We start from the raw sequence: 15,305 nt of genomic DNA on the forward strand, positions 1-15,305 counted from the left end.
AAGCTTTGTGGAAACTACTTGATAAATGGTAGATTATATTTTTATTTATTTTATTTGGTGTTGCAAAACTGGTTTTGTCCTAAGGACTCATTTAACATCAGTTGTATAAAACTTTAATTTGAATGAGTAAAATATTAACATGTAAACCAGACATTGCAAATTCTTTGAAATTAAACATAAAAGAAGAGGAAGAGATTTGTGTCCCCTGAGTTTAAAGTCCCTGCATCATGTATAAGAATGAATTTAAAATATCATTATTTAAACTTATAGTATATGCCATAGATCTGTTATTTTTATGTTCCTTTATTTATACTTACTGCTTTGAAAGTGGCCTTGCCATTTCATCCAGAACATGCTGGGCACTATATTAAGTGAGAAAAAAAAATTAATAGCATTTAAATGTGGGTATGTATATCTGTGTGTGCGTGCACATAACTTGAAGTTTTCTTAATGGTGTTAAACGCAGTACCTCAAGACTCAGGCAATACTAGGAGATACATAAGTCACTCTATAGAAGGAGATATAATGATTGTTCCAGGTGTATATGAGTGGTTGAGTTGAAAGAATAATCACCAGAAATCATTGAGAGTCTTTACTTTTTCATATTTATTTTAAAAATAAATTTATTAAGATATAATTGACAAAAATCAATATATAGATATTTAAATTTTGCAATTTATTAAGTTTTGACAAATGTCTGTAGTAGTGAAACCATCACCACAAGCAAGATAAAAAATGTATTTATTATCCCCAAAAGTTTATTTATATCCTTTCCAACACCTTCCCTTTGCCTTCTCTGCCCACTCTCTACCTCAGTCCCAGGAAACCATTGTTCTGCTTTATGGTACAATAGATTAGTTTGCATTTTCTGCAATTTTACATAAAAAGAATCATAGGGTCTGTACATATCTTTCTTTTTTTTTTTTTGAGTCTCAACATAAGTATTTGAGACTCATTCATGTTGTTGCATGTACATAGTTTCTTCTCTGTTTTCTTGCTGAATAATATTCTATTGTATGGATACATACGCCACAATTAGTTACCTGTTTACCCAGTGATGGACATTCAGGTTGTTTATAGTTTGCAGATATTATAGTAAAGCTACTATGAACATTTGTGGGTACAATTTTGTATGGCCATTTGTCTTCATTTTTCTTAGGCAAATGCCTAGATGCAGACTAGCTGGATTATATGGTAGCCATATATTTAATTTTTTAAAGGCCTTGCCATTTTCCAAAATGTTTGTACTACTTCATAAAATCCAATTCATTTATTGTGTATATATATATATATATATTTTTTTTTTTTTTTTTTTTTTTTTTTTGAGACGGAGTCTCACTCTGTCTCCCAGGTTGGAGTGCAGCGGTGCAATCTTGGCTCACTGCAACCTCTGCCTCCTGGGTTGGAGCAATTCTCCTGTCTCAGCCTCCTGAGTAGCTGGGATTACAGGCGTGCACCAACATGTCTGGCTAATTTTTGTAATATTAGTAGAGACAGGGTTTCGTCATTTTGACCAGGCTGGTCTTGAACTCCTGACCTCAGGTGATCCACCCACCTTGGCCTCCCAGAGTGCTGGGATTACAGGTGTGAGCCACCGCACTCAGCAATATTACTATTATATTTTAGTTTTATGAATCATGCTTTAGTTTTGTATGTGAGAAATTTTTATCTAACGCAAGATCACAAAAATTATACATATACATTTTGCCATTTAGGCTTAGGTTTTGAATCTATTTTGAGTTAATTTTTGTATTTTTAATGCCTTTGTTATTACTACCAGGTGAATTATTTTCGGGTCAGTTTCCATTGATTGATTTATTTCCTCATTGTAGACAGCATTTTCGTGCTTCTTTGAATGAATTATGGTTTTTTTATTAGGTTCCAGATGCTGTATATTTATCTTTTTATTGTTGTATATTTTCATATTGCTATAAATATTCTTAAGCTTTATTCTAGTCAAGTTATTTAGAGGTTAGTCCTTTCAGAGGTTTTTAAAAATTTATTAAGTGAGACCAGAACAGTATTTGACTAGGAATTATGTTTTTCCTGTTTATTGATGTAAAATTTTTCTGTGTATCCAGTGCCCTCAATTGTAAGGATTTTGGTTCTGGCTGATGGTAATAGGCACCATTTACGGTCCTGTTTGAACATCATATGCAATTTCCTCTAATCCTTTCAAATAGATCTTGTCCCAGCCTCAGTTTCCTTACACAGATGCACTGATTAGTTCTTAAGCGAATACTGGGGGGAGCACTATGGATGTCTGGAGTCCACTCTTTGTCCATCTCTCTTCTTCTCGGTACTCTGCTCTGCAAACTGATTTTGCCTTCCAGGCTCCCAGCTTCATCACCTTAACTCAAAGAGGCCACCAAATTCTTTTGCATGGGTTCTCCTCCATGCAACGCATCGTGTAAAATCTCTCAAGATATTAAGCAGGGACTATTTTAGGGTTCATCTCACTTATTTTCCATCTCTAAGAGATCATTTTTCATTATGATGTTCAATTGTTTTAAAAATTATTGTTTTCAGGTGAAAACAACAATTTGTCTCTGTTACTTCATCTAGACTAGAAGGAGTAGTCTTTGTCATTTTGTTTTGAATTGTAGAGAAATATACTTTTATTTCAATGGTAGTGTGTCTCAACCTTTTTGCTTGTTTAAGGTTTATGAGAAATTTAAAAGATGAAAATGAATGAGAGGGAAACACATCCATACCTATTTTGACAGGCTATTTTAAATTAAAAATCATGCGAGTTTTGAGGTTAGACATTATTTTGCTTAGTTACAGGAATTTAGTCTTGTTATGAATTCTTATACATTGTTGGAATGGAAAAGAAAATTTCGGTATGTATATCATGAGATACATAAAAACATTTTTTTTAAATTTTTACTGGCTTTTACTTAGTGTCAAGGAATTGACCAAAGAAATTGCTTCTTTTTAAACTTGTGATTAATTAATGTTGTTAATCAACGTATTTAATTTAAGGGTTAAAGCAAGTGCATACCTTAATCTTCTAGCACTCATAAGCCCATGAGTAATCCTGACATTATAATAACAAAAATATTCAAATTTGCTAGTTCCATAGCTCTCATCCGGTGATGGAGGGACTTAATTACTGCTCAAATTTTCTTCAGGTTATTTCCAAAAAATATTTTATGGCTTCTTCATATGTGAGGAAAATACCTTTTTCATTCTTTAACTTTGAATTTTTCATGGAAATTCACTTCATGATCCTTGTGGCACATAGGAGAAGGTAGCTTTTCCCATTACCTTTGGCTAATGACCTTCTTTGAATGCATAAGATATTTTACAAAATTTATGAATCATATTTTACTAAAATTAACTCGCTAATTAATTGATTACCCTGTGTCTATGAAAAATACAAAAATTAGCTGGGCGTGGTGGTGCACACCTGTAATCCCAGCTACTGGGGAGGCTAAAGCAGAATTGCTTAAACTTGGGAGGCAGAGGTTGCAGTGCACCAAGATGGTGCCATTGCACTGCAGCCTGGGTGACAAGGGCAAAACTCCATCTCAAAAAAAGAAAACAAAGCAAAAACAAACAAACATAAAAAGACATTAGATCCAAACAATTTTTCACAATATGATCAAATTGATGTCTTAGTGTAGCAGTATCTAAATGAGTTGGTAAATTACCTTCCATTTGTGTTGGTAATGGGAAGTTGATTGAGATAGATTATTTTACCTACATTATGTTATAGTATAGATTACAGTTGGATCATGAAGTTCAAGTGCATTCATTGTCTGCTATTTTATTTACTAGTTTGGAAATAAAATACTCTGTTTGCTGAAAGTAGTCATTATATAAAAAGTCTTCCAAGGTAATCTTCCAAGAGAATAACCAATCTTACCTTTCCGTCACATTTTTCTCTTCAATCAGTAACTCTAAATTTAAAGTGTTATTTGTATACCTCCCAAATTGAAGCCAAACCTGGGGTTAGCTATTTTTATTTATTTTCACATAGAAACATTATTTAGATATAATTCACATCATCAAATTCATGTATACAATTTAATAGTTTTTAGTAAATTCACAGAACTATGAAACTCTCACCACAATCAATTTCAAATTTTTATGATTCTACAAGAAGCCTGTTAGTGATAACTCCCGACTTTCCCCCAACTGTCTCCACCCTAACTCTAAGCAACCACAAATCTACTTTCTGTCTGTATAAATTTGCCTACTGTGGACATTTCATCTACAAAAATATATATTATGTGTTTTTTGTGATTAGCTTAGCATAAGCTAATATCATCTGTGTTGTAGCATATATCAGTACTTTATTCTTTATAATTGCCAAATAATATATCATTGTATGCATATTCCATATGTTATTTAGTCATTCATTAGTTGATATGCATTTGGGTTTTTATGCTTTGGGGCTTTTATTTTAAAACTCTGCTATAAAAATTTAGGTGCCAGGTTTTGTGTAGAAATATGCTTTCAATTCTCTTGAGTATATTCCTGAGAACAGTATTGCTGGACTAAATGGTTTCTGCTTCACGTACCTTAAGTGCTCTCTTTACATAGATGTATACATACTTATAATTGTTATATCTTTCTAATGGATGGTCTTTTCTATCATTTTGAAATGTTCTCCATTATTTTAATATATTTTATTTTAAAATCTGCTTTGATATTAGTATAGTCACTCTAGCTTTCTATTGCTTGCTGTTTGTATCATATATTATTTTTCATCCTTTTATTTTCAGTCCATTTGTATCTTTAAATCTAAAGTGTGTCTCCTGTAGAAAGCATATATTTTTATCATTTAAAAAAATACAGTTTTATAATCTCGGCTTTTTGATTGAATTTTTAATCAACTCACCTGTAATCTTATAATTGATATTGGTTAATTTCCATGTATGATATTACAATAATTGATATAGGTTTATTTTCATCCATGATTTTACATTTATCTTCTATGTTTCATGTCATTTTTGTTTTATGTTCATTCTTTACCACTTTATGCTATATGAAGTAAATATTTTCTAGTTTAACATTTAAATTCCTGTAAAAATTTTTCACTTTATTTTTAAATTATATTGTTAGTAGATGCTCTCAGGCATATCATATATATTAACTTATCAGAATCTAAATCAGATTCATAATAGCCTAATTTAGAAGATATAGAAATGCTACTACAATATAGCTGTTTGCTCTTTCTCCCATTTTTGTAGTATTGTTGTTAAACATATTACATTTTAAGATGTTAAAAACACAACAATACATGATTACAATTATTACTTCATATAGTGTTATGTCTTTAATAAAGCTGAGAAAAGCAAGGATACCAAGTACCTAAAATTTGTTACATAAAACATATTATATGTTTTTAATTCTCCTAATTTCTTCCTGCAAATTCAAGTTACCACCTAGAATCATTTCCTTATTCTACGAAAAACTTACTTTTTATCCACTTCCTTTGTGCTGTTATTGTCAAATATATTGCATTTTCTTGTTATAGACCCTGTAATACAATGATAAATAATTGTTTTACATCATTAATTTTGTTTCCCTGAATAATCTTTGTTCTGATTATTATTTTTTAATCACTTAAGAGAAGAAAAAAGAAGAAACATGCCATTTTAACCTCTTTTTAATTATACAATTACCTTTACTGGTGCTTTTTTTTTTCCTTTTCTATCTGAGATCACTTGTTTTAGCCCAACTTTCCTTAACATTTCTTGTAAGGCAGGACTGCTTTAATAACCTCTCTTAGATTTTGTTTACCTGAAAAATATTTTATTTCACCTTCATTTTTGAAAAATAATTTTACTGGATATCAGGTTCTTATCTGACATTTTTTCCTTCTTTTAGCACTTGGGATATGCTACCCAACTACCTTCTGACCTTCATTGGTTTTGATGAAAAGTCAATTGTCAAGGGAGTTCCTTTGTAAAAGTACCCGTTGTTGTTGGCTTATTGTTTATTGATTTGGATGAGGTATTTCTATTGCAGTGTGATGTCATTCCTCAGGAAACGCAGGCTTTGGCACGTGCACAGCCACCGTGGGAATGATAATGGCTTCAGCAGGGCTCTCACTGAATGTCTTTCTTTCCTGTTGTCTCTGTTAAGCTCTCTGCTTACGTTAGTATCACACCCAGTGATTCCCCTTCACTATTTGTCAGCTGGTTGCCCTACTGTTTTCAATAATGCTATGTGCATAAGTTGTTCTATAGCTTGATCCATTTACATCTAGAATCCTTTGCTGGGCTTTATTGTTTTGTTTTGTTTTTTCTTGAGGCCAGTCTTTGAGATTTTCTTTAACCTGTGACGACAGGAAGGCCGTTGCTAGTTGTCTTTTTCTCTGGTTTTCTTTTATAAACTATGGTTTAGCGTGCTTATCTCATCTAAACACAAGGGCTTTCTTACTTGCTTTCTTCCAAAGTCTCCACTTTGAACTTCCCCCAACTCTGTTCCAAATAGTTCGTTCCCTTAGAGAGCTTCAGAAAAACACTTCCCTGTTATAGCTGGCTTCTTCCCTGGGCAAAATGGTGGTAGCTTCCGGTCTTCTTGCTTTGTCTCTTCTGGATTGAAATCTCCCCTCTATAAGTGAGCTAAAGTGAGAGCTATTGGGGTCCCTTTATTCTTGGCATATGAGCAGGGACTGGGTGAAAGAAGAGAGTCCCAACCTTTCAGCCACACCACCTGGAATTTTGACTTTGCAACCAAGAGTAATAATGACTGAAATAAGAAATGCTGGCAGCCTGCCTCTTCTGGAAAGGACCGTAGTCCTTCGTTGAGGAAACATGGATCTCCACCTTGGGTACATCTATCCAGTTTTCCTAATGCTGAGTTGGGGATGAGGTTGAATTAGGGAGAAAGTCATGGTTCAAATACCATAGACTCTATCTGTTCTTACTAAGATTTGCTAGTTTTTTAAAATAATTATTTGTTCATTTGCTATAGACCCTTGGCACAATTTTCAGAGACCTTAAATATGTATGTGTGTTTTAGAATAGTTTTCACTAGTTATGGTTGTTTAGCTGGAGAGAAAGTCTGCAGAGCTACTTATTTAGCATGATGTTCAGGAGTTGCCCCCAATTTCTTTTTCATACTCATACGTTTTCACGATATTGACTCGTAAATTATTCTAATTTATCTTCTTAAAAATATATTCCTTGCTTTATGTTTATGTATCCTTTTGTCTCTCACTTCCTGCTAATTTTTCATAGATAAAATCTGCACTTTTCTATTTTATATTCAAAAAATGTCTTTATTTTTTGCCTCTATAGGAGATGAAACTATTTTATAATTTTCTTTTTCCTTGTAAGTATAGATAATGTTTAGTAATGTTATTCCCCCTTTTTTTGTAAAATTTATATGGAAAAATGTTTATGAATTGAAAAGATTTAACAGCTAGGTATATTTTTAACTTGGTAATTTTTCATTTAGTTTTTTTCTCTTTAGTGATATTGCCAATCTCCTTTCTTCCCCCTTTTGTCTATGGTGAATGCCTGAACTCCCAACTCTAGGAAGTTCTGATAAATGGGACTCTAATCTAGTTGATCTGCAGTGAGAATTACAATGGCTGTGGAAAATAGCAAAGATAGAATTGAAAAACAAAGGGTAAATATAGATCTGCGTAAAAGAAAAAAGTTAGTCTGTCTAATTCCAAATATTTTGTCATATCCCTCTAGATTTTGTATTCTTCCAATACAGAAACTGATGGGAGGATTTAAAAAGAGATAAACTACAAAGAAAATCAATTAAAGACTGACAACTGTCCCCGAATTATATATATTGACATGGAACGAATCTACTTACTAGAAGGAAAAGAAGCTTTACCTGGCTGATTGCAACCTTTATTTTAATTAATTAAAAACATACTTGTTAAGCATCTATGATGTTTCAGATACTGTCCTAGATGCTGTACCCAGCGTCTAAAACCTATAGAGAAATATAAAAATTAGGAATTTCTGCAGACGAAAGAAAGAAAAGAGAGCAGAAGGGAGAGAAAGAATGAACAGAAAAAGAAAAATAATTAGTAAAAAAGGAAATAACAAAGTTAAAAATTTAATCTAATCTTTATTTTATGAATACATAATTTATATTGAACCTTGTGAATGTCCCAATGGGTAATTTTAATTTTTAAATGATGTGATTCTCAGAATACAAGGTAACCTGTTGAAAAATTATTGTAAAAACTCTGGTAGTACATGGTACATAGAAATATTGTAATATATTCAGAAACTTATCATTTCATCACAATGTTTTACTGATGCAAGTGATTCATTTATTCATTTTCACTATAGGTAGATGAGGAGCAGGTTGCTTTTTCTGACATGTGCTGAGTGCTGCAGGACTCCATGAAACAAATAGTTTGATTACCAGAAAATTGCATCATCATAAATGTTTCAAAGAAGTCACACTTGCCTGCTGCTACAGAAGTTGCTCAAATGCGTAGATATTTTTATTTCCTTAAAGTTTATTCTACTGAATAGACTTAAAATAATTTTCTGCCATATGTTATTATATTTTGGGCATGCAATAAAACATCATTTTAAATATATTTGAGGAGAAAGGACATTCTAATGTAGACAAATATAGAGCCCACCCTGAGGCTTCGAGTCAGGTAATATATGTACCTGGTTCTTGTAGCACCTCTCAATGTAGATCTGCGAAATAACATTTAAGATACATTTTATGAAAAGCATTGACATTTTACTTGTCTGGGTAAACTGAAAAAGAGACTTTAATATTTAGATAAATGAAGTATCTCCTCTTAATAATCTTCCATAAACATTATTTTTCTCATCTGACCTTTTCAGATCTATTAAGAAGAGCTGAATTTCAGTACTATTCCTTGCTAAGTGGGATAGTTATCCATGTTACCAATGAATGGTGGGGTCATACCTGTAGAGTCAGTTAAGAAACAGGATTATGACTGGTACTTCCTTCAAAAAGTTGAATATTATAAGGACTTTTAAAAATCTACCCTATTTCAGACAGGAATTGTATGAAAGGGTGCTCATAGGCAAGAATGAGATTTGCCTCAAGAATTTGTTTGAATTCTTTTTCAGTGCACAAATGAATGTGGTTACCAGACTTTAAAGTTATACAATGTAAAATATAGCCACTATGTTTGGTCTAGAGACAGTTTAAAACAAATACAAAATGAAAAGCTTTGCTTGAACATTAAAGAAAAGTGTTTTGTAAAATATCTTTGAGCATTTAACCTTAAGACACACACAAAAAAGTATTGACATTTCCTCTAAGACAAATTGCCTTTAAAGTATGCATCCAAGTTACTGAATGAATTAGCCAGACATAGTTACTTTAGGTCAGTTAAGAAAGAAATAATGGGGAAGTTGGCTGTGTTCTAAAAATGGTGTATTTAGTTTTAGGAATTTTGATTTACAGAACTGTGAAGCAGTAATTACAACATGTCCAGTTCTCCACTGAGTTCGTTCACTCCTAATTTTTGACAATAAAGCCAACTCTCATGTAATGCGTATATTTTCTGTTCTCTATGAGATGAGGTCATGAATCTAGCTCACTGGTTATGGCACAAAATCATTAAAGGACCACTGACAACAATTATGTGGATTCAGACTAAATTCCTTGATTTCTCCCCCTGAAACTATCATGTTATCCATCAAAAACCACTTTTACAAACCTTACCTCTGAAAATACTAGTAAAGTTCAAGTTCCATATAAGCATCACTGTTTGGGACACACTAAGACCATGCTGTTTTGCTCATGGTCAGAGAATTCAAGGCCCATATAGGAAATGTCACTTAATAGCCTACATGATTCCTAAGAGATACCTTCAAGTGATGAGAAAATATGGAAGTTTCAGTTTCTAAATCCTGCCTTGTTCCCAGTGTGGTCTATTGAACTTGGAATGGATTAAAAAGAACTGGCCTACTCTAGGCAGATGGCTGATAAAGAGGTCTATTTCAGGATCCAGGGAAAGTATTTCATTATAAAAGTGAAGGTATTGGCTGGACACGGTGGCTCACACCTATAATCCTAGCACTTTGGGAGGCCGTGGCAGGCAGATCACCTGAGGTCAGGAGTTCGAGACCAGCCTGACCAAAGTGGCGAAACTCCGTCTCTACAAAAAATGCAAAAATTAGCTGAGTGTTTTGGCATACACCTGTAATCCCAGCTACTCAGGAGGCTGAGGCAGGAGAATCACTTGAACCTGAGATGCAGAGGTTGCAGTGAGCCAAGATTGCGCCACTGTACTCCAGCCTGGGTGACAGAATGAGACTCTGTCTCAAAAAAAAAAAAAAAGAAGATATCTTCTTTTCCAGTCTGTCTAAATAGCACCAAAACCGCAAAAGTGGAGAAAGCAAATAAACCAAAATAGTTGAGATTATACTGCTCAAGGCATATAAGCACCACTGTGGAGACAAGGCAACTTCTCTAGGAACTTCACTTAAGAGGATTTTCTTTTTCCAAAACTTCATTCTAAAAGTGGCCAGAAACTAGATATAGAGCCTGATGAGTTAATATTATAAACCTAGGAAAGATGGATATGAAAGTATCTCCGGAAATATGATATTTTGTGAAAAAAAATTGGATGCAAGAAAATCAAGATATCTTGGCTTTTTTTTTTCTTCTTTTTTTTTTTTTTTTTTTTCCAGTTAACCTAACTTGAAGCATTTAAACTTACTTATTTTGGGTGCTCCAGTGCTCGAACTTAAATTTGCTATTTCTTTTTTCACCTTAGTTCTTGCTAAGACAAAAGATCTAATCTCCTGAATATAAGGAGATTGCTATTCTACAATCCAGATTTTATAAAGATAAATAATATAAAAACTAATAGAAAGTCCTTTATCTTGAGACTTTACCAAGAAATATTTAGGCAGCTAATTTTTGTTTAGAATTATACTTGAGGAATTTTTCTTTAGGTATATTTAAAAATTTTATTATAGAAAATTTCTGACATATGCAAAGTAAGCACAATAATAGAATGAGAAACTGCATGCCATCACCCAATTTTAAATGTATCGACATTCAGCCATCTTTGTTTCATCTATCCCTCTAATTACTCTCCACTCAATTGTAATTATTATAATAACTTACGGTTATGATTTTTTTTTTTTTTGAGATGGAATCTCACTCTGTCACCCAGGCTGGAGTGCAGGGGCGTGGTCTCTGCTCACTGCAACCTCCACTTCCCGGGTTCAAGCGATTCTTCTGCCTCAGCCTCCTGAGTAGCTGGGACTACAGGCACCCGCCACCAGGCCCAGCTAATTTTTTGTATTTTTAGTAGAGATGGGGTTTCAGCATGTTAGCCAGGATGGTCTCGATATCCTGACCTCGTGATCCTCCCACCTCGGCCTCCCAAAGTGCTGGGATTACAGGCGTGAGCCACCACGCCCGGCCTACAGTTGTGATTTTTGAGGGAAAATTTACATACATTGAAATAAGCTAATCTTAACTGTAAAATTTTTACACAAATTGCAAAGCAGATGACCTCACACCGCTTTTGATGTAGAGCATTTCCTTAACTCCAGAAAACCCGAATATATTCTCTCCCAGTCAGTTTCCCACATGACTCACCACCAAAAGTGACCACGTTTTGACTATTTAAATGTCCAGAAGGTCTACTAGAGAGAGTAGGAGGAGTGGTTATGTGGATTATGAAAGAAAGAAATTCTGAAATTTCCTTTGTTTCTTGTTTGTTCTCAAGGTTTTCTAGTCATTTCATTAACACATTATGTAATATATAGGACGTGCATATTTTGAAAAATGTAAAATGAAATATATATATATATATATAATGTCCAATGGAAGTTTTTGAAAAGAAACAATTAAAAAATAACAAGAGAGAGAAAAAGAGAAAAAGATGGGAAGAGTAAGTCCCACTATTCCCACTCCATCTTTAGTTATGTCTCCAGTGTCAAATGTTTGCACTGTACTCTTGCTCCTCAAAATATGGTCTGTGGGCTAGCAGCAGACTCTCAGACTCCACACTCTAACCTACTGAATGCGAATCTGCATTTTAACAAGATCATATGTGCATTGCATTTTGAGAAGGCTATTCTTGATCACCATGTAATATAACTGACATGCAAAGGAAAGGAAAGTGGACAGAACATGAAAGAAGGATACACGTGGTATCAGCAAATAAACTATACAATGTAAAGAAAATTTCTGTTGGCTCTATAACTGTGTAATGCATCGTTATTTTAAAAATACAGAAAGGGAAAGCAGAGATACATTTTAAGTGTCTTCTCTATTCATTTCTTTGGGGAAGAAGGTCAGCCTAAAATATGAGAAAAGATATTATGATTGGCTCTTCTCAATGTTTTTTCTGTTCATCTTAAGGCTTCTGGTAACCCTATAATCTATCACATAAGCCGATATTAAAATCAACAAATTACACTTTTGTTTATTTTACTTGAATTAGTTCATTAAAATTTTATGATTTATACAATTGCTATCAAATGTTATGTGTCCAATTAATATTACATTAAATGCTACTTTTGTAAGGGAAACAGCTAAAAGAAGCAGATGTGTGAGTTCTTAAAGTGCAGCTGTTATAAAAAGTAAACAACCAGCAGTAATACTTTGGAGTAATTTCTCATATGTTGTGTAGCACAATTATAAAAATTGTTTGTCAAGAGATCAATATTTTCTTACTCTGACACTGCTTAGAGCTAGGAACAAGTAAACGTTGGGCATAGAGTTATAAAAAAAGAAAATAAATGTAAAAATGAAGCAACATATTTGTATAAATCTATGAGACTGAAAAGTGAAAGAACCTTATAATATTTTAAATATAAGCAAAGAATCATAAATGCATCTGAATTATTGTGACATATTTTTTCTGAAAGGTCATAGAGTCTTTAATATTTTTAAATGGAATTGTACCTAATTTTCAAGTGCAAAAATCTTAGTAAATGACTTTAGTAAAAATGAGATGAGATATTTCATAGGACACGTTTATAAACAATTCTGCGTATAATTTTGTATCCTGTGTTATTTACTTTCAGTTAAAAGATGGAATTGAGACTTCATGGTTCTGTTCTTCTTTCTAAATGTTAGAGATTTTCTTACTCTTCAGAATTGCCTAACATACATAAAACATTTTGTGGTAAAAATCTTAATTAGGTCATTTTCCCCTAATATGTGAAACTATAAACATATTTTCAAGAACAAGACATATCACATCTATCATTTAATCTCTTACTAATGTTTATTTTATTTCTATCTTTAAAATCAATCAATATGATAAAGTCATACTTCTGAAATAAGTGAAAGTTAGTGAACATGCATATGTCTATTAATCAAATGTTACATCAAATCCAATACTATTTTAAAAGCCCAATCTTTGCGTAAGGCACAAAGATAGAAAAACTGAATGTATTCATTTTTGTTATTAATACATTTTAAAATGTTTTTAAAATAAATTACTTAATATAAGTTAAAATCAAATTATGTATTTTATGTGAAAGGTCTTATTTACTGACAATATCAATGTTTATTTGATACTGAATGATGTAAAAAAATGACAGAAAGCAAGAAAACTGAATACACTTTTCCATCAACTACATTTAAGATCTTGTTATAATGATAACTTAACCTTATCTTATTAGTTTGATTTCTAAACCTTTAAAATTGCCCTCTTCTTATCAGCTACTTCAGACTTGAGAAATTACAAATTAAGCAAAAATATTGCTAAACCTCTTTTCCACAAAGAACAAATAGTCCCTTAGTGCACCATTTAACGATGGATCTAAATCATGCACAGCAAGTTTAAATATCGATAAATGAATTCACATCTTGTAGAAAGTACTCTTGTTCATGCTGAAATAAATTCCTCAGCCAAGTGAAGAGCATTCATCTCAATGTAAATTTCACTGCAAATATATACTTAAGTATTCAAAATATTCAGATGGCTGTGCTCCTTTTCTTTCCAAAGATGACAACTTTCTCATCCTAAGTATCCTTTAGCAATTTATGTTCACCTCACATTGTTCATGTTAAAGTTGTATTTCAAATGCATTGTGCTTTCTTTTAGGCATAGCCATATAGTTGTAAATTTGCCCTTCCTAACTGTGCTTGTGGCTCAGAAAATTAAGATTATGTTTTAGTAAAACTTATAGCTAAGAGAAAAGACAGACTACTTTTGTAAGATGATATGCATTGTTTTAATGGAGTATATAAGAATATCTTGTGCCTGATTATAAGCTAGGTAAGCCTGAGACCAAAGAAATAAAATTGCTGCGCCCCCACCCTTTTATAATATTTCTGGATCTAGCTCTTAGAATTTTTTAATTTTTTTTATTATTTATTTATTTATTAATTTTTTTTTTTAGACAGAGTCTTGCTCTGTCACTCAGGCTGGAGTGCAGTGGCGCCATCTCTGCTCACTCTGCAAGCTCTGCCTCCTGGGTTCACGCCATTCTCCTGCCTCAGCCTCCCGAGTAGCTGGGACTACAGGTGCCCGTCACCACATCCGGCTAATTTTTTTTGTACTTTTAGTAGAGACGGGGTTTCACCGTGTTAGCCAGGATGGTCTCGATCTCCTGACCTCGTGAAGAATTTATTTTTTAAGTAATTGTAATTTTATTTAATTGAATTGAAATAGATTAAATGTTAAAATCACAAATATTTGCTTCTTAAAAATTGATAAAAATAGGGAGAAGCTGTTTCCATTATCTTGAGTAAATGCAATCTGTTTTATTTTGAAAGGTGTCACATTTTAAAATTCATATTTTATTTTCAGATGTAAAATATTTAAAAGAAGAGGATGCAAATCGCAAGACATTCACTGTCAGCAGCACACTGGACTTCCGAGTGGACCGGAGTGATGATGGAGTGGCGGTCATCTGCAGAGTAGATCACGAATCCCTCAATGCCACCCCTCAGGTAGCCATGCAGGTGCTAGAAATACACTGTAAGTAAACACTACTTCCCCCTCCTTTATCTCAGCAGCAAATCTCTTCATCTGCATCTAAAATCATTTCAAAACTACCTGAAGTTATAGCAAAGGTGCAGTAAAATCCACGGCAAAATGAAGTAAAACTACATTCACTAGTATTAATCAGGTTCAAAGGAAAACACTCCTTGTCTGAGTTTCATTCTTAACAATGAGGAAAAATGAAGGAGATGTACGAGGTTAATACTCCTATGTTTCAAATTGTGGCTTAACGTAGGCGTGCACGTAAGGGTGGGGGAGAAAAAGTAGTAATTTGAGCAAAATCACTGAGAATCGGTAATCTGAGAGGGCCTTGATGAACAGTGTTATATTAAAATAACTTTATTTTATGCAATTGTGGCTTCTCAGCTATGCTTTTAAGATTAGACTAGTTTTACCT

General features: G+C 33.0%; 1 protein-coding gene across 17 annotated transcripts in view; it reads left to right on the forward strand.

Annotated features, from left to right (window-relative positions):
• Positions 1–15,305, forward strand: part of CADM2 (cell adhesion molecule 2) — a 1,115,441-nt gene that overhangs the window by 938,671 nt on the left and 161,465 nt on the right. For all 17 annotated transcript variants that reach the window (NM_001375961.1, NM_001375960.1, NM_001167675.2 and 14 more), the window contains one exon: positions 14,714–14,884. In NM_001375961.1, the coding sequence (NP_001362890.1) occupies positions 14,714–14,884 (171 nt within the window). The remainder of the gene's footprint in view (positions 1–14,713; positions 14,885–15,305) is intronic.

Source organism: Homo sapiens, chromosome 3 (genome assembly GCF_000001405.40).
Source record: "Homo sapiens chromosome 3, GRCh38.p14 Primary Assembly".
Classification (NCBI taxonomy): domain Eukaryota; kingdom Metazoa; phylum Chordata; class Mammalia; order Primates; family Hominidae; genus Homo; species Homo sapiens.